The sequence below is a fragment of the Homo sapiens genome, chromosome 13 (genome assembly GCF_000001405.40).
Source record: "Homo sapiens chromosome 13, GRCh38.p14 Primary Assembly".
Classification (NCBI taxonomy): Eukaryota; Metazoa; Chordata; class Mammalia; order Primates; family Hominidae; genus Homo; species Homo sapiens.
Window position 1 is genome coordinate 35,938,949 of NC_000013.11, and position 20,096 is coordinate 35,959,044.

At 40.0% G+C, this 20,096-nt stretch overlaps 1 protein-coding gene across 6 annotated transcripts in view, besides 2 other annotated features; it reads right to left on the reverse strand.

The window, feature by feature from the left end:
• DCLK1 (doublecortin like kinase 1) overlaps positions 1-20,096 on the reverse strand; it is a 363,288-nt gene that overhangs the window by 170,297 nt on the left and 172,895 nt on the right. For all 6 annotated transcript variants that reach the window (NM_001330072.2, NM_001330071.2, NM_004734.5 and 3 more), the window contains exon 4: positions 8,410-8,509. In NM_001330072.2, the coding sequence (NP_001317001.1) occupies positions 8,410-8,509 (100 nt within the window). The remainder of the gene's footprint in view (positions 1-8,409; positions 8,510-20,096) is intronic.
• Positions 14,699-14,828: an enhancer, noted in NCBI's record as "active region_7587". NCBI's record gives its function as "activates an Ori minimal core promoter by ATAC-STARR-seq in GM12878 lymphoblastoid cells {active_cell/tissue: GM12878}" and the evidence as "EXISTENCE:reporter gene assay evidence [ECO:0000049][PMID:35858748]".
• Positions 14,859-14,968: an enhancer, noted in NCBI's record as "active region_7588". NCBI's record gives its function as "activates an Ori minimal core promoter by ATAC-STARR-seq in GM12878 lymphoblastoid cells {active_cell/tissue: GM12878}" and the evidence as "EXISTENCE:reporter gene assay evidence [ECO:0000049][PMID:35858748]".

Sequence of the window (20,096 nt, forward strand, 5' to 3'; positions counted from 1 at the left end):
CTAAGTAGAAAATTATCTATTTGTAGCGAAGGAACTAGCTGGAGCTTGAGTTAGAGTCTGTCTCCAAGGTGCAGTACTCTATATGTATCCATAGTTTGGCTGTTGATTAAATTGGAACTATCACTATGTTCCGGGACATTTCATATTTATGCATGAGCTAAAAGGTAGCTATGATCGGGAACGTCTCCAGAAACCCTTGTGGCCTTTCCACTGCTTGGAGGCAAATGGGAACTAGCTGACGAGAGCAAAGCACGTTAGCCAATGTGCCCTGTATTCGGAACACAAAACAGACAAAAGCTCCCAAACCCTCTATTTCAGACATCAGGCTGAATTCTACAAATCAATGCAATCGGGAATGATCATACCAGATTTTATATCCTTTTCTCATAAGACAATGAAGAGCCACAAAAACTTAGAATTATTCAACAAGATAGCTATATTAGTTTTTCAGTTGTTTGGCTTTTGTTTATTTGTTTTTTGAGACAAAGTCTCGCTCTTTTGCCCAGGCAGGAGTGGCGCAATCTCTGCTCACTGCAGCCTCAACCTCTGGGGCTCAAGCGATCCTCCCACCTCAGCCTGCCAAGTAGCTGGAACTACAGGTGTGCTCCACCATGCCCAGTTAATTTTTTGTAGAGATGGGGTTTCACCATGTTGCCCAGGTTGGTCTTAAACTCCTGTGCTCAAGTGATCCACCTGCCTCAGCTCCCAAACTGTTGGGATCACAGGCATGAGCCACCATGCCCGGCCCTATACTGTTTCTTTAAAATAAAAACTGTATATTCCTAGAATTAACATCTATTGAAACGATAAAATATGCCAGCACCAACACATACCATCCATCTCAAAGAAATCTGCCCACAGATGCAATGTAAACAGGCCTTATAATCCAATTAAAATTTAGATTTACAAAGAGTTGTCTGTCTATTGCAAATCACTAGTCATTTTACCACAGTATGTTTCGTAAGAGATAAAAGCCACTAGAATAATATGCAATATTTAATATTCTGGGTCAAAGTTCAGCACCTAAGATCCCCTGACATCTTTACACATAAACAATATTAAACGTCTGTATGGATAGCCTGGCCAACAGGGCAATAACCCGTCTCTACTAAAAATATAAAAACTAGCCGGGCATGGTGGCATGTGCCTGTAGTCCCAGCTACTCGGGAGGATGAGGCAGGAGAATCGCTTGAACCTGGGAGGTGGAGGTTGCAGTGAGCCGAGATCACGCCACTGCACTCCAGCCTGGGTGACACAGCAAGAGTCTGTCTCAAAAAAAAAAAAAATAAGTTAGTATGAAGGGTCACATCTCCAGCCTGGGTGACACAGCAAGAGTCCGTCTCAAAAAAAAAAAAAAATAAGTTAGTATGAAGGGTCACATCTGACCTAAGTGTTACTGTCTGCAGGTACTTGAGCTTAGCACACTGCCTGGTACATAGTAAGTTAGCTTATTGAATAAATGACTGCATGAGTGAAAGAATGGATGGATTTTGTTAGCAGTAGCTCAAAAACTAGTTTGTGAGGAGGTGTGGTCTTTGTCCTGACTGTGAGCATCTTCCAGTGTTTCCATTAACCTTCTGGTTTCCTAGCATCACCAGCCTCAGGACAAAGCAGCAGGGCCATCAGGTCTCTTTAACCCAAATCAACATGGGCACGGAGAGAGGGAAGCATTTACCAAGGGCTGGGACTCCTGAACACTGTCACTTTTAGAAGTCTGATTGGTTCTTCTACAGGTGGTTTAGTTTAATCTTCTAGAGATTCCCTCCAGAGAAGAGTGGATATCTTCAAAGGAGCCTTAATTCCCTCTCACCTCCACCACAGCAACAAAAGTTAAGAGTGGAAGAAAGCAGTAGTAATCGCTTTCTGGTTCCAAAGAGCACCAAAAGCAGATCTTGATGTCATCTGCCTCCAATTAAGCCCCACAAATGAAGCTACATGGCTGAGTCCAGCTGCAATCCACTAGGAGGTATATTTCAGCTGAGGTGTCATTCCCCAGCATCGTTCACTGGGTAATAAGGAACACAGTTTCGAATGTGCTTTGACATTTATTGTCTCATTTGAGGTCCGTTACAACACAGGAAAAAAATGTGTTTCAGGGAATAGGAAGCAGGCTTGGAGATGTAGAGACCACACAGAAAGTAGGACATAGAGCCTGGATGAGACTGTGTCTTCTCAACACAATCCCACTATTCCAATACTGTTCCTACTATTCCATTAGGTTGGTGCAAAAGTAATCACTTTTTTTTGCCATTACTTTTAATGGCAGAAGCCGTGATTACTTTTGCAGCAACCTAATAGGTTCTAGCCCTATTTTCTTATCACCCAGAATTAGGGAAAGTGATCAGAACCCCATGGTGAATGGTACCTGATACAGCTTCTGTCTTATTTGGGACATGAGTCCCAGGAAAATGGTTAGAATAGAATATTTCTAGAAATATTTACCAAGCAGATCTTGGGTACCCAACACCATGGTGATCCATAAGAGAAGCTGAGGAAATGTCCATTCTAGAATCACATACCCAGGAAGAACAACACTGGACTACAGGCACGTCTGTCTGGTGCAGGGAGAAGCAGAACTGGTATTTCCTGGAGATCGGGCACTACACATGCACACACGTGCACAGGCACACATACACGTGCACGGGCATACACACACGCACACACACACGCACACGCACGCTGCGTCTCAAAAGTCTTCCTGCAGTTTTGAGCTTTAATGACTTCAGAATTATAAACACAGCAAACATACAAAAATCTGAAAGCTTGTTTACATTTCTTCTACAGTTACTTAGTTTTATGAATATTAAATAACACATTTTTAAATTTTAATGTTTTGTTTCAGTTCATATTTACCATCTTCAATCAGAGGGGCAAAAACATTTTCCAGTATAAAAATATGATACCCCTACAATCCACACACAAATGACCCATATCACATAACATCTCATACTAAGCCTGCAGTCAAGTAAAAGTAAATTTCACACGTGCTGCTGTGAAAACGACATTGCTCCTAAGTAAGCTTGCAAGGCTGGCTTTTTTCTTTCTATCTTTCTTTCACACCCTAGAGCTCTTCTTTTTGTTTATATGAATTAAAGTTTATCTTGTTAGATACAATCCACCCTGTTAGAACCTTTTCGGATCCTCATTCTACCTTTGACCACATCAGCTCTCCTCCCTGATGGTTCGAATCCACACGGCTTTAATGTTTTCTAAAGGACATTTTTTTTTTGTTTTTTGAGACGGAGTCTTGATCTGTTGCCTAGGCTGGAGTGCAGTGGTGTGATCTTGGCTCACTGCAACCTCCGCCTCCCGGGTTCAAGTGATTCTCCTGCCTCAGCCTCCCGAGTAGCTGGGACTACAGGTGCATGCCACCACACCCAGCTAATTTTTTGTATTTTTAGTAGAGATGGGGTTTCACTGTGTTAGCCAGGATGGTCTTGATCTCCTGACTTCGTGATTCTTCTGACCTCGTGATCCACCCGCCTTGGCCTCCCAAAGTGCTGGGATTACAGGCATGAGCCACTGCGCCTGGCCTCAAAAGGACACTTCTAACTATGCTAAACCATATCAAGTCCAAAGCAGAACCTTGTGGTGTGAAACCTGTTCACTCTCAGCAAACAAACACAATCCCTTCCTTCAGGGGCCTGATGGGACAATCCTAATAGAGATCTCCTCCGGCACATTTGACATCAGCCTATAAATCAGTACCTTTTGGACAGAGAAGATAAATCAATTAAAAATACAGCCACCTATACCATTTACTATATATTTTCATCTTAGTCCAAGGGACTTCAAGAGGGGCTCTGTCAAATGCACTGTTGAAATTCTCAGACTGTCTGACAGCATTCCTCTGATCCATGAGGTGAGAAACCCTAAGTGTGAAGGGTCAGATGAGGGGCAGCCACAGCTCTGTTGTTGATGTATTCTACTAACAAATATAATGCTATAACGGTAAGTATCTAAGGACAGATCCAAACAAATAAATAAACATTAGTTTACTTGTAATCCAAGTTCAAATAAAATTTGAACAGCTCCCACCAATGTCTTTTTTAGGTTGAATTTTGTTCCCCAAAAAGATATGTTCCAGTCCGAATCCTGGTACCTTTGAATGAATCTTATTTGGAGATAGAGTCTTTGTAGATGTCACCAAACTAAGATGAGGTCATACTGAATGTGAGTGGGTCCTAATCCAATAACTGGTGTCCTTATGAGAAGAGGGAAATTCTACTGACATACAGGGGAGAAGGTTACATGAAGATGGAGGTGGAGATTGGAGTGATGATGCTGCCACAAGCCAAGGATTGCTGGCAGCCATCAGAAACTTGGAAGAGATGAGGACGGATTCTTCCCTAGAGCCTTCAGAGGGAGCACAGCCCTGCCAGTACCTTGATTTTGGACTTCTTGCCTTCAGAACTGTGAGCCAACACATTTCTGTTGTTTTAAGTCACCCAGTTTGTGGTACTTTGTTATAGCAGCCCTAGGAAATTCATTCAGCATCTAAGCAAAACAATAGACATTGAAGGTAACGCCTATTAACATCAGAATCAAGAGCAGTTAGGAACTAGTTGATAAAAAAACAGAATAATCTGAGAAAAGATGAAAGAGAGGATGACAGGTATCTGGACTCCCGAGCACGCAGCAGGCCTGGCCAAGGTGAGGCTCCGGATGGCAGTGGAATGAATGGGTGAAGGAACAAGCCAAGCAGAGTGGGGGTACTGGCTTTGAGGCCAGCAGGTTGGACAAGAATTGATATCCAGCATCAGGCTCATCCCCAAGGAGTTCACTGTCCCTCCCAAGCATGGGGTGATCCTTTCTCAACAAAACCCTATCACTTTTAAATGGCTACGGATTACAAATTCGTCCATTTGTCATCAACATAGAAGCAAAACCATGTTGAGCTTCCTGTCTCCAATGTGACATTTTCCCTGCCTCTGTTTCATCATTCTAAATTAGACAGCAAGGGAAGGATCTGCTGGCCTCTCTGCTTGTCTCTATCTATAGTGCACTAGCCACCATCTCCAAGGTGCTAAGATTCTACTGACTGATGACGATATCGCTAAAATGGTTACATTCTGAACTAGAACAAGGAAGGTGTTATTTTCCGAATGTGCAAACTTAGGGGAGGAAGGAGTCTCCCTGGCAGTTTCCGATATTAATCTGGCTCCAATGTGGCCCCATGAAATACTCATCTACAATGGCAAATCTTCTCCAAGGATGGACCTTAAGAGACATCCTTAGGAGATTTCCTAGCAGTAATTAGAGGGATGTATTATTGCTAAATCCTGAACTCACTGGGAGCCAGGTTAATTTGGAAAGTTAAAATAAAAGTGCCGCCTTGTGGCAAAAGGCCACTTCTTGGCACCTTAAATGAAGCACAGCCCTGCGCAGGGCAAGAGTAGTAATTCTGAAGATGTCTGTACCCACCGCTGACACCCCTTTAAGGAAGCTACTATGGAAAAGGCCAAATGAAGCATCGATGTGCAAATACCACTTAGCAAGTACAGATAAGCTGGGCTAAATCATGCTCGGAGCACTTAAAAAAAGATTCAAATGTTAATACATTAGCGCTAGAACATGCTGTACAAGCAACAGGAAAATTGCAGTTGTCAATGTGTGAATTTAGTCTTGGGGTAAGTTCATCCAAGGAAGTAAAATCTCAATTTAGATCGTTTTTCTATTTGAGCCCCTTTCCTTCCATATCCATGTGTTTCTTTTGGAATGGGGGAGGACATCGTTACTCAGCAAATGTATTTCACACCAAGAAAGGGTTAGGGTATTATTCATCCAGGGAAGGGATGTGAAGTTCTCAGCTAAGTAGTTTGAAGTGGTCCTTCAGAAGGCCAAACCACAAAAGATGGAGAAGGTGTCCTGGGGTGTGTGTGTGTGTGTTTGCATGTGAGCCCTTGTGTGCATATCTCCGTATATAATCTGTGTGCATTCTTTTTTATTCTTTTATTTATTTATTTATTTGAGACAGAGTTTTGCTCTTGTTACCCAGGCTGGAGTGCAATGGTGCGATCTCGGTTCACCGCAACCTCCGCCTCCCAGGCTCAACCATTCTCCTGCCTAAGCCTCCTGAGTAGCTGGGATTACAGGCATGCACCACCATGCCTGGCTAATTTTGTATTTTTAGTAGAGACGGGGTTTCTCCATGTTGGTCAGGCTGGTCTCGAACTCCCAACCTCAGGTGATCTGCCCGCCTTGGCCTCCCAAAGTCCTGGGTTTACAGGCGTGAGCCACTGCACCCAGCCTGTGGGCATTGAGAAATAATTCTAAGGGGGAAATAGCAAGAGGAAAGGGGCAGTGCACCTACTCTATTATGGAATTTCTGGCATTTTCCTGTTGTACTTCTCAGAAAGTCTACCTGCTGGTCATAGCAGGTGCACAGGAGTAGCTGCGGCATCCTGGGTGGAGAGCGCATTGGCTGTTGCGGAGGGGAAGCCCAGCTGTGTGAGCTCACCCAGCCTGGCCAGCAGGGAGAAGGGGCCCCAAGTCCATCTGGGGCCTAGATAGAGACCCCAGAGTTTGGAAGCTGTGGCCAACTCTGCTTGCTGGTTTGAAAAAGACATGTATTCCAGGTCGAGTTTGACAGGCTGTTTTCTATATCAAAGCAACAAACAGACTTTCATTTCAGAATGCATCTGGTCTGCCAAACCATTCTATCACAAGCAGCTATTTTCTTTAAATGGAAAGTTAGGGCAGTTTATTTTTCTCAAAACCGTGCTGTCAACTCTTCTGTCTGACTCTTGACTTTCACCTGTTCTACACAATGGCAAAGCTGTTCTTAAAATGGTGGCGTGGGGGGGACCTTCCCTGAGGACACTATACTTGTGATATATTTACAAAAATCTGTGCCTCAAAGGGCACGTAGGTCAGAAATAAAGATGGAATGTATTTGAGTCAACTTATTTAGAGAAAAAGGGATGCCAAACCACTTGTCTAGTTATGGTCCTTGAACCAAAATAAATCTCTTCACATGACACATCTATTTATATTCTTATTGGGCATCTGAAGTTTTCATGAGAAAGGGGCAATTTTAAAAATTCTTATCCCTCCCTACACACTCTAAGTCATTTTTTTGGGGGACAGGGTCTTGCTCTATCGCCCAGACCAAGTACAGTGGCACAATCAGGGCTCACTGCACCCTTGACTTCCCTGGGCTTAGATGATCTGTCTATCTCAGCCTCCTGAACAGCTAGGACTGCAGGCGTGCACCACCATGCCCAGCTAATTTTTGTAGAAACAGGGTTTCGCCATGTTGCCCAGGCTAGTCTCAAACTCCTAAGCTCAAATGGTCTGCCCACCTTGGCCTCCCAAAGTGCTGGGGTTACAGGTGTGAGCCACCATGCCCATCCTCTAAGTCATTTTTAAATGAAAGAATTGTAGTTCCTAAATGCATACAACTGATAATATGTATATATGTGTATAATATAGATGCTATGCATTAACACACATCTGCAGTGTTGGAGTGAGACCACTCCTGTGTAGAACAGGTGAAAGTCAAGTCAAGTCAAGTGACCACATCACTTTTCCCATTATTGTTAATGCTCAAGTGTTGCTCAGCCACTATTTCAAAAGCTCACTGATTTGTTTTTCTGCATTCATCTAAGCAAAAAATTCATTATCATTTCAAAAAGCATTTCCAACTACGCAGAATTTGGGTTGTCAGTAAATATGCAATACTCCCATAATTAAATTAGAGTAACATTATCAAAGAAGGGCTACAATAATCTTTGTTTGGTAGAATAATCTTACCTGTGATAGTGCTAAGATTCTCAGATGATTAATAGTATCAAAAATATCATTCTTAAAGCCACAACATTTCACATTCATTTCCTAAGACATGTATTTCCCTCTTTATAACCATCCCCTCTTTATCTATTACAGAGTAGCACATTTAGTTTGTTAATGGAAGGAAGCTAACTTCTCTTTTCTGATACCTCACAGATGCTAATGCCACATGAATTCTACAGTATTTAAAGGAAAAAGGGAAAGCAAACCACTTGCCTGGTTAGGAATTAAAGGAAGCCACCTGAAAGCTGAGCCTAGAAACATCCTAAATTATTTTATGATGACAAATCCCTCAGCTAAAAACCGTGAAAAAAAAATTAAAAATGTAGAATTCCACACCATCATTTTCTACATAACATCAATTTAATTATTAAGTGGTTATAAATTAGACATTAGTTACTTATTCTTCTAAATGATTTAACTTTTCCAATTCTCATTTCATCTGTTTTCCATATTTAAAAAAAAAATCAAAGAAATCCAAGATATGGAAAAGACACGCTGGGTGAGGATCTGAAACTGATTTGGTAGCTTTGGAGTTGACATAATCTTGGCCTGGTGCAGCTCATTTTCGAAAGCTGCCTCAAATTTCCCCTGGTTTTGAACTTTTTTTTTCCTTACCACTTTCATCTAGCAAGAAATCATCCTGGTAACGGAACTTCTCCGGTCCACATGCAATAAAAATGTCATCATCACCAAAAAAGTCCTGAAGGCACATCACCTACAAGAGAAAAGCATGGCACTCAGCAAGGGTGGTAGAACAGCAATTACAACAATGCAACCCCACGAGCAGACATCTGCATAAAGCCCCTTCCCACCTAATGGAATCAACAGGGCAGCTTCCACAGAGGAATTTCAAAAGAGGGGTTCGAGCATCTGTTACTAGTAAGAAACATGTTCCATTTCAGTTCTGCAGGAAAACAGGATAAGGAAAATAGAACCAGTAACTGTCACATTTATTACTTGATATATCAACAGGCTCTGAGGTAAGAGCCCTTTGTTTCCATAATAGAGGAGGTGCAGTGCCCCTTTCCTCTTCGGAATGTAATACTCTTTGATAGCAACACAAGTCAGCATATGGTTTTAACAACAAATATGTTTAGTAATTGATGCTGTCATATACACACGATAATCACCAAAGAAAAATACTTCTCTCATGATATGAACATCACCTCCTTTAAACCCATTCTACCTCTAGTTGAAAGAAAAATGAAACTCTTTTAAAAATAATAATAAATAAATTAAGCTATTGCTTAGGCTTAGAGAGATTATGGTAAGTGTATGCCCACCACCCAAGCTCTGCCAAACTCTAAAACTCCCAGGCCACCCAACTTCTTCTTGCCATGCAAAAGGCAAGTTTTAAGGCAACCTTTTGATATTTACTCGACTTACTCTCCAATGAGAACTTTAAGAAAGCTAAATGTCATTTTTGCAAGTAAATGTGATCAAAATGAATAATTTTCAAGCATCTTGCTCTCTGTCTTTGGATAGACTATGTAATATTTTGTTCACATTATGTGTAATACCAACACTAGGAACACTGCTGATTTTTAACTATTTTCAATTTCCTTTGACCACTTGGACGAATCATAAGATGGCCAGTTGCAGGCACCCATTCAGAGCTGTATGAAATAGATGTTGTAATAGCATTTTCTCCTGGATATTTGAGGACCAGAGACAAGCCTCTCTGGAGTGCTCGATTGTTTGGCCCTGTGTTTGTAATGCGCTCCTCTCTGACTTGTCTGCAGTTTCCTCTGTGGGCACCTCTGGAGTTCTGCTTTTTTGTTAGTCCCTGGGAATGCTACTCGGACACATTACATGTGCTGTAAGACATGGAATAGTAAGTTGAGAGAACGCAGCATTATTTAGAGTCCCCAAATGCAATGATGTGTGGGCTTTAGACTGTCTTTCCAAATAATGTCTCATTTCTAAATAATCACTTGGCCGAAGTTTTTAAAATGGAATTTCTATAAGAGTTTGATAATCAACATTAAGCACGAATGAGGTACTATCCACGGTTGTCAGTGTTTAGTCTGCCCATGAAAGCTTAAAAACACAGGGGATTTAAGAGGGAGGCTGTAATCACTGAGGAAGATAAACTGAAGGGCTTCAAGAGAGATGTCAGAAGCTCTGATATTCTACTTGGTTTAAAAGCAGACCATTTGAATTCAGAACCCACCCTCCATTTCACTCCTCTCTCTGACTCCAACCCAATCCTGTTCATCTTTACCTTCATGACACCATAGCTTCTTCTAGCATCATCTCAATCAACCCCCTATGGCCATTTTCATTTTACATTTCATTTACAGAAAGTATTTACTGAATGCCTACCACGCTCCAATCAGCATCTGGCAGAAATGAAGAAGTCATGATCTCCACCCAAATGTGAACAATTAACCCAAAAGAGGAGTATCTCCTAAAGTGTGGATGATTAATACGTTTTGTGCAAAAGAGAGTTCTAAAGCCAAACAGATTTGGAAAATATTTGTTTCCAAATTCTCAAAACCCTTAATGTTCTAATGTACACCATGATGTCAAAGAAGAGATAGAAAAATCCAGTATTTCCCAAACTTATTTGATTCCAGAACTTTTTTCTCACACAGCATCATGCAGACAGATACTGTTCCTCAGAGTGCCCTTTGGAAGTGGGCTGACAGCCATAGGTGAAAAGATCTCTGGGAGCACAGGAAAGACAGAACAGTTATCCACTCTGCTCCTAGGCGGCCATGCTTCTGCAGCTGATAAATATTTCACTGCCAACTAATTTACTCACTCAGACATTTATGATGGGCCTACTCTACATCAAACATTCTGATGATGTATCTCCGATAGATGAAAAATATTGATTTTTAAAGGAAACACATTCCCACTCCCACCATTTGCATTTGAGAACATCTGATTGCTAACCACATCCTACTCATCGGTGTGTGCATATTTCACGCCACTTCTATGTGGAAAAATAACCATCATCAAAACTACAACAGGTTTTAAGCAGGTTGCTAGCCAATGCTCTTCCATCAGTTTACTGATGACCATTCTCCAAGTCTGAGACTTAAAGAACAGAACAAACAATGATCCATCTTGGGCAGTTTTTTTTTTTTTTTGGCAAGCGGGAAATGAAACGTGATGAAATTTTGATGTTCTTTCCAACACTGAGACTCCAAGAATATAAAAGGAATGCAATGATTGTTAGAGAAAAGTAACTGTCATCACCCAGCACAAAAAGGCAGGGGCAAGTCACCTCAGTGCCAAGCAACATGCATTCATTTACCTCTCACTTTTCAGTGATTGAAATGAGAGAATTTGTTGAACTAACAGAAACTCTGATGTTTTCCGTGCTTTCTGTTCGAAATCATGTAACCACTTTCCTGCTCACAACTTCCCATTGGAAAAGGTAGGTATGGTCAGTAGATCACATTCAACTTTATAAAACCGCTCCTTGCTAGAAGTCTTCTTAAAGAGTTGATAGCAAAGGAGACTTAAACACAAGGTTATAATAAAGATGAATTTAGGATAATCTGTGCACTTCAATGCACTTCAATTATCCACGCGCTCATGCATTATCATTGATACAGAGGTAGCTGTAATGTATTCCAACTAACAAGAAAGAATAACAGAGGGAGATTTATAACCCTCTTCTTTAGACAAATGTACATTGAGAATTTTCCTTGAGGCATTACTGTACATTCTGATATTAAGGAATTATAAAAAGGTGGAGGAATTGAAAACCAGTGTTTCGCACAATAATCTGATTTTATTTATCTATGCAGTGTTACTCCTTTTGAAACCTGGTGTCCTAAAGATTCAGTGTAGTTACCAGTTTTTTAAAAGATTCGTTTTATGGATGAAAAACATGCTTCTTGTTACAAAGGGATAGTGACAATTGGCCTCTCTGCCATGAATTCATTGCTCAGTAGGTGTCAGATGTTAGAAGCATTCATCATGATTAGATACAGGGCAGACGCAAAGGCAGAAGTATCAAGTTTGAGAAAAGAGAGATGTCCAACCTGTGGAGAAGCACCTTTCCAAGCTTTTCTGTTCCACCTCCATGCTCCTGTACCTCCCAGGAGAGTTGATGTTGTCAGAGCCTGCTCTTCTCTGTGGTTTCACTACGGTCAGAGATTCTGCCCCTGCAATAACTTTCAAACCCAGGCCTTTCTCCCACCCTCCTCTCCTTTACTCCCAGCACCAAGTCAGTCCAGGGCTCGTCCTCCTGCTTGTGGACCCTGGCATTTTACTCTAGTGGATTTTCTCAGCCCTACCGCCTTTCTGTTTAATCCATCCTGTTTAATTCTGTCAGTCTACTCTTCCTTCACAAATTTTCAATATCTCTCTCCATGGCTCAGAAAGCCATCCATGGCTTACTATCCTCAAGTTAAAGTTCATCTTTCTGAGCTTGGCATTCCAGATGCCTCAAAATCTGACCCCAACCTACCTTTCAAGCTTCCGGTTTTTTTAGTTGGGACATGGTGCCTGATACTTAAATAAGCATTTGTTGGATGGATGGACGATGGATGGATTAATGGATGGATGCATGGATGGATGGATGGATGGATGGATGGATGGATGGATGGATGGATGATATGGATAGATGGACGGATGGAAGAACTATGTCCTAACCTGAAAAATGTTTCAATTTATCTGCTTTACCTGTTTTTCTTGAAAAAGGGCTTGTTCTTTCCTATGTGTTTGTTTTTTCTATCTAGTATCCTTTCTTACTCTTTGCCTGTTCGAATCCCTCCTATAGCCTATTGCTCAGTTGCAGATTCAAGCCCTACCTTCTCTATCCACTCTAATCCAAAGTGACTCATCCCTGCTCTGAACCTCTACCCATTGATCAATACGTGTTTACTGAGTGCCCATTATTTGCCAGTCACTGGGCTAGGTCTTGAGAATATGGCTGCCCTTATCCATCACCTCTTCTTTTCTAGTATATGTTTACAGACTTATGATCCAAATAATTCCTGTTGCAAATCAGTAATTCAGCCGAGAGTGACTTACATTACCTTCTAGTGGTTTTGTCAAAAGCTGGAGACAGGTGATATCACTCCAGCTCTTGCTCTGCCACCATCACTGACTTGCGCAAATCAGGAAACCTCCATCAGCTATCTTGAAATGAGTCCTGTTTCTGTAGATCCTAGCTTCAGTCAGAGCAAAGGCAGTGTCTCGCGTTAGGTGCCATTTCTTTTGGCACCATGGAGATGTCTGCTTAAGCTGTTCCCTAAGAGCACAGCACTATCAACAGAGCCCAGCTTCTGAGTTAACCCAGCACTTCCACTTGGATGTTAATCTCTTTGTGTCTCGGTTTATCATATCAGTTGTTTCAAGATGAGTTAAGACGATGAATCCAAAGAGAATAAGTCCTCAATAAAGTTTAGCTTTTTTTATTAGCCCAAATGTATTTTTACTTCTAAATAAGTATAAATCGAGTGCATACGTAATATAAATGGAAAAAATGTTTAAAAAAGCAAACACACAGTATGTACCTCCTAAGTTTTATACCAACATGCTTCTTTTCTAAGTTGATTTGAAGAAAATGTAGCAAACGCGTGCCTATTCTTGCTTTGGGAATAAGGATTCTATCAGTATCATTACTTTGATGAAAGAAAGACACACTTTGAATTAGCATCAGAGAATGGGTGGAAAGCTGGTAGAAGCTGCTAACACAAAGGTGGGACACGGTTTATACCACTGACTTCCATTAGGCTTCCACAGAATGATGCTGCGAAAAGTCATTTGTAAGCATATTCACCTGATATAACAAATGTGCTAAGGACCACTGTCTTAACTCAGGGCCTCTTGAGATCTGTCACCAACTTCTAGTTTCGTGACAACCAGAGATTTTTATTCCTCTGAGAAAACTGCTCTCTGTTGAAATATCTCCACTGCAAAAGATACTGTATGTGTAATATATGCAATTCATAAGCCAGGTAATCTGTTTATAGTACATGACACTTAATATTCTGTTGACTAATTTTCAGTTTTTACTTAGTGCTTTGGTTATTATACGGAAATCTAACTCCAATGTTGAATTTTTTTTAACTCCAATGAAAAACAGTCCATTTATTGCATGAGACTCTATGTGATGGTGCTTAGCATTATGCCATACCCACAATACCTCAAAAAACATGGGTGATTATAATTGCCAGATGTGCTGGGAAAAGTCCTTGAACGAGGGTCAGGATACCTGGGTTCTGAGCCCATATTGGCCTATAACTGTTGCATGAACTTGGATGAGTGACTTAAATTCTCTTGCTTATCAGTTACTGCATTGGTTCTAATATGCTTTATCACAGTAATTATATGATAAAGATAAAATAAATATGAAAATACTCTTTTTGGTGTGATGTACCAACAGGAATAGTTCTGTATACATTACTACATTTCATCTTCAATATACATGATAACACTGAATCCTTTCAACTCTGAAAGAGACAAACTCTATTTGACAATAATTTATTGGTATTAGTATCCCCATTTTACAGATGAAAAATCCAGCCAGGTTAAACAGAAAATCAGTAGGAATTTGAACGGAGGTCACTTAGAACCCAAATGCAGGCTGTTAACTACCAAGCTGTAGGAAAATGAGTCTATCATGCACCCTCACATTTGCATATTATAAATTTCAGCTGATAAAATCATTATGATCAATAGTTACCACATATATTGTATATTAATAGTATATAATAAAAACGGTGTCTAATAAACCCCCCTTTTTAAAAGAAGGAAGTTCGAATTATTCCTTTGGCTCAAGGAAGACATATTCCTTTTTCTGACTCTCTTTATGTGAAATCTGAATTCATATCTTTTCCATTAACTTGTCATTACGCACAGTCGTCCCAAGAGACTAAGCTGCTTACGAGGAAACAAAACGCTACAGACAAATATGGACTTCCTCTCCTCTGAGCTTCCGGCCTGTGTTGCTCTGCAAGGGCAGAGATTCAAACAAAGGCAATAAAAGCATCTGCTGTTTACACATTTCCAAAGCAGGACCGTGGAATCCATTCCCCCTCACTGGAATAAGATCTCCATGGTGACGCTGACTTCAGGGAGCTGGGCCAGTTTCTCAGCAGGGCCTAGGCAAGGATATTTTCTTTACAAGAGCGCCCTCTTCAAACGAAACAGGGGATATCTCTGCAGCCCTGGATGCATTTGAAGCCACAGAAGTCATTGTGTCTTTATCAGGTGTTTTCCATTGTATCAGAGACACCAAAATATTTTGCTGTCATCCATTTAAATAATATATTTTAAGCAAGAGAATAAACCATCACAGAAGTAAAAACGAATAAATTCATTCCATCTATTGCAATTATCGAGTATGGCACATTATTTCTGTTTTAACTTTCTTTTTCTTTAAAATACTTCATTTGTAATTTCTTAAACTTCTTAATACCAGTTAAAGATGGCAGGCTTAAACGTTCTGTAGCTAACAGTTTAATGAGATGCTCTTTACCAAAAAGGAATGCTTACACTGCTTTTTTTTTAAAAAAAAATCTAGTTACCTATGTATCTAAGGTGCCAAGTCAACAACCTTCCTCTTTCTGCACAATTCGTAATGTGACCATTATAATTAGCTTTCAGTTAAAACTTGGCACATATGGGGCTCCTCGTCCTGCCAAAACTAAATTGAGAGGAGGTTCCTCTTCCAATTTCATTCCATACTTGGCTTCTTCTCTCCATTCTTAGCAATGAACATTTTTATGCCACATGATATTATAAGTCAACCACTGTGAATTTTTCTGTCCTATAATCATGTAATTCCATATGTTTCTGGTTCTAAAATATGTTTACAATCAGTTTTATAGCCAAATATTAGAAGCGTGTTACGTTATTGTCATAAAACACATTCTCCATCCCTTCTTTACATTTTTGTTTTCATTCTTTGATGATAAATTTATGAAAGTGATAATTTATTTTACTCTAGTTCTTATGGCTAGAAGCTTCTAATAAAAAATTCTTTAAAGAATCTCTGGATCTTGGCCAGAGGAAAATATGTGAATAAAAAATAAATTAGTTAAATAATAATAATTAACAGAAAGAAGAAAATAAAGATCCTCAAAGTACTCTTTACAAGTTTAAAACATGAAGCTCTAAGACTTTTTTTTAAAAAAAATGGATAATACTGTTGAAATTCAGAATAGGCTAGGAGATAACACTCAAACTAACAGGCTGATGCTTAAAGAAATAGAAAAAGGAAAAGTTCTCCTTTGAAATGGTAGCAATTTGATTCGCTGGGTCAATCAGAAAAAGTCAATTATGGAATTGAAAGTGTATTCCTTCCTTGGATGTGTTCTCAGCTGCTGTAGTTGACATGGACATCAGCTATTGCAGCCTTCTGTTGAACATACCCTCTGACCCAGGAATGCACCCTTTATGCATGGATCACCATCTTTCATGGACTCAGACACACCTAAGCAGACTGCAACCTATTCTAAATGATTCATCCTTTATTATCTATCCTGTTTTTTTTTTAATGCTAACATTTCATTCTCTTTTTAAAAATGTGTCTCTTAGTCCATTCAGGCTGCTATAACAAAAATATCCTAGACTGGGTGGCTTGTAAACAGCAGGCATTTGTGTCTCACAGCCCGGAGGCTGGAAGTTCAAGATCGAGGCACCAGATGATCTGGTGTCTGGTGAGGGCCTGCTTTCTCACTTTAGCCTCACGAGGTAGAAGGGACAAGGGACCTCTCTGGGGCCTCTAATAATAGCCCTGATTCTATTCATGAGGATGATGCCCTTGTAACCTAATGGCCTAATCACCTCCCAAAGGCCCGCCTCCTAATACTATCGCCTTGGAGGTTAGGATGTCAACATAGGAATTTGGGGGGATACAAACGTTCAGACTAGAGCAAAGTGTAAAATGACACCCTAGTAACAAATATTGACCAGGTGCCTTGGCTTGGCCACCTAATAGATGTGTGACTTTGGACAACTATTTAACATCTTCAAGCCTCAGTTTCCTCATATGTAAAATGGACCTACCAATGCTTACCCTGTAGGGTTTCATGCAGGTTCGATGAGATAATGTATGTAGAGTAATCAGTTCCATGCCTGGCTTACAGAGAACACCAGGGATGAGCAGCTACTGCTGTCAGTGCTGATACTAGTAAGGCATAGTAGGTAGGTCTCTGAGTGACCATCTGTCTGAGTGATTTGGGGCTATTATTTAAGAATAGAATACTAAACTTAAATATCTGGGAAAGAGAGGTATGAAGAATAGAGTTTACTTAGAAGGTTTCCAATCCTGGTCTTTTGCCAAGTTAATACCACATCAGTCCTATTCCTCTGGTTTCTCTCATTAAGACATCCTTTACTGTTGTCTACCTCCTTTTTAGAATAGCTCACCTACTTGCCCCTCTTTCACTTAAGGAATTAAAGGATAGTCCAAGAAAATAAAAACTGTGACACAGTAGTTTCTCTGGAGAGGATACAAATAAACTCTGGTCTGAACCCAGAAGCTAACCTAAATCAATTACCTTAAGATGAGTGTTCAAGATTAAGGGTGACCAAGCCCAGGAAATTGGCTTATCTGAGCCATCTGATTGAACTCATTATTTTCAGGGATAGGAAAAGATCAAACTTATATTCTATTGCTGAGAGGCAAACTTATATTCTATTGCACAAAAGATTCATGCAAGTAGGTAGTTAACATTGTGGCATGGTTTCTAATTAGGCAGAAACATCTTACTGTGATAATTGGAAAAAGAAGAAATAAAACTATGAAGAGAAACATGAAGCCACATAATACAGAATATTTTGGAGATCCTTAAGGGGTAAAATGTGGCACTGAACATATGGCTGGTTCTCTGCTTAATGCCTGGGGAGTGATATTGGACATAACGCTATCTTCAAGTCATTCTGAGAAACACTTCAAGTTCTCATCACCAATGCCAAGAGGTGTTCATAGCAGGAGTCATAAACACAGGACCAACCAGGGATAGGTAGGGAATATGGATGAGCGAAGGCTGGGGAAAAACAAAACAAAACAAAAAAAACATCATCAGTGGCAAACTGGATCATAAATGCCCTGTCCAAAGCAAGCAGCATCAGGCACTCTGCTCCCACATTACTTTCTCTAAAAAATTTTAATAGGAAGAATTGTTGTAAATTTAACATTTCCAATTAAAAAATAAAATCTGTGGTACTACGTAAACCCATACAAAATGCTCCTCTGGCCTGGATTCAGTCCATTCAAAAGCATTCATATAAAACTTTGCAAATAACTATACCTTCAAAAAAGATTTTCAAATGTTTATTCTTGTATCAGTTTATTGTATGTTCTTTGTTAGGGTGGTCACTATTTTGAAAAGTCAAGATGAAGAACAAAGAAATGATGCTCTGAGATTCTCCTACTAAGTGTTTATAAGCCTACAAAACACCATTAATAGAATAGGTTTGGGGCAAAATAAACTTGGAGCAAAGGGAAAGAGTCACTAATCAGCTAGTGTAAGGTGCTTTACAGGAATCTTGGCATGCAGATAAAGTTACAAAAGTCAGGCTTCAAACCCAGAGAACCAAACCCAACCCATAAAATCTGTGTCAGGCAACATCCTCAGATAGAGTCAGGATTTAAAAATGTGTTTAAAGCAACTCATTGTTCTCTTATAATTTTGTTGACTCTTACTCAACATGCACACAAATGCATTCTGGTGCTATGACTTTCCCTCTTGATGTTTTTTAGAAGGAGCCTGGGATGAGTGCTGAGACCTATGATGTGTGAGGCCCTAAGAGAGACTTGACACATGATGTTACATCAATTTCTCACAAGGACTCTTTGGTAAAATCAGATTATTAAAAAGTTTTGCAAGAAAATTATAAGTATCAAAAGTATTGGCATATATTTGAGAGCTAAAAACATAAAGATAAATCACTTTGCCTGGTATGTTCTTGTGCACTGGCTTGCTGCCTGAGATTGTGTAAAATAATATTCCCAAAGCCATGGAAGTATGCTTTTGCCAGGAACATTTGTAAAGGTCACTTAACGTTAAAGTATTGAGTCTGTTGCTTTAAATATTTTTATTTCTTGTTTGAATCTACTTCTCTGCATATATAACTTGAGATTAAAAGGCATTTTTTATACAGTGCAAATTAGTCTTCTTAAGTAAATGATGTTTTTCAAACAACAACAATCCCACAAAGCTGACATTTCCAAAATGATTATTAGCGTCACCACCACCACTGCTATAACCATCACCACTACCACTACTACCACTACTACAACCATTACCACCATCACTGCTATAACCACCACCACCACCACCATTATCACCATCACCATCACACACCACAACTACCACCACCACCACCATCACCACTATAACCACTAGCACCACCACCACTACTATAACCATCACCACCGCTATAACCACCATCACCACCACCACTACCACTACTATAACCACCACCACCACCACTATAACCATCACCACCATCACCACTATAACCACCACTACCACCACCACCATTATAACCATCACCACCACCACTATAACCACCATCATCACCACCACCACTACCACTACTATAACCATTACCACCATCACTGCCACTATAACCACTATAATAAACACCACTACCACCACCACCATTATAACAATCACCACCACTACTATGACTATCACTGCCGTCACCACTATAACCACCACTACCACCAGCACCACTACTATAACCATCACCACCACCATCATCACTATAACAACACCATCACCACTATAACCACTATCACCACCACTATAACCATCACCACCACTACCACCACCATCACCACTACTGTACCACCAACAGCAGTATAACTACCAATACCACCACCACCACCATTACTACCATTATCACCATCATTTCCATCAACACCACTATCTCCATAAGGGGAGCCCTTACAAAACTTTGGATTTTGTTCTAAATGAGCTGAGGACAGAGCCTTTTGTCTCTTGAGTGTTCTGTGCAGCATATTAGTCTGTGTTTTGCTCACAAAACACAGTGATATTCAGTACAAATGCAACCTAGAATTCTAAAATTATTTTAGGAATAAATTTACTTTTTTCACCCATACTTAAATGCAGCTACTAAAGACATTTACATGGCTTCCAAAATATTGGAGAAAGATGCTTGTTCTTCCAAAAATATATTTGAGAGCAAGTGAGCTCTTAAAATTATAAATGGAAACATTCTCTGGAATTGTTTGAATAATAATACTGTTTTTGCATAATTGTATTAAGATCTAAACACAGCTAATAAAAGGTTGAGAGAGATGGCAATAGTAAGATAAAAAAAAGTACAGTTCAAAATGAAAGCTTGGTTTCAAGACA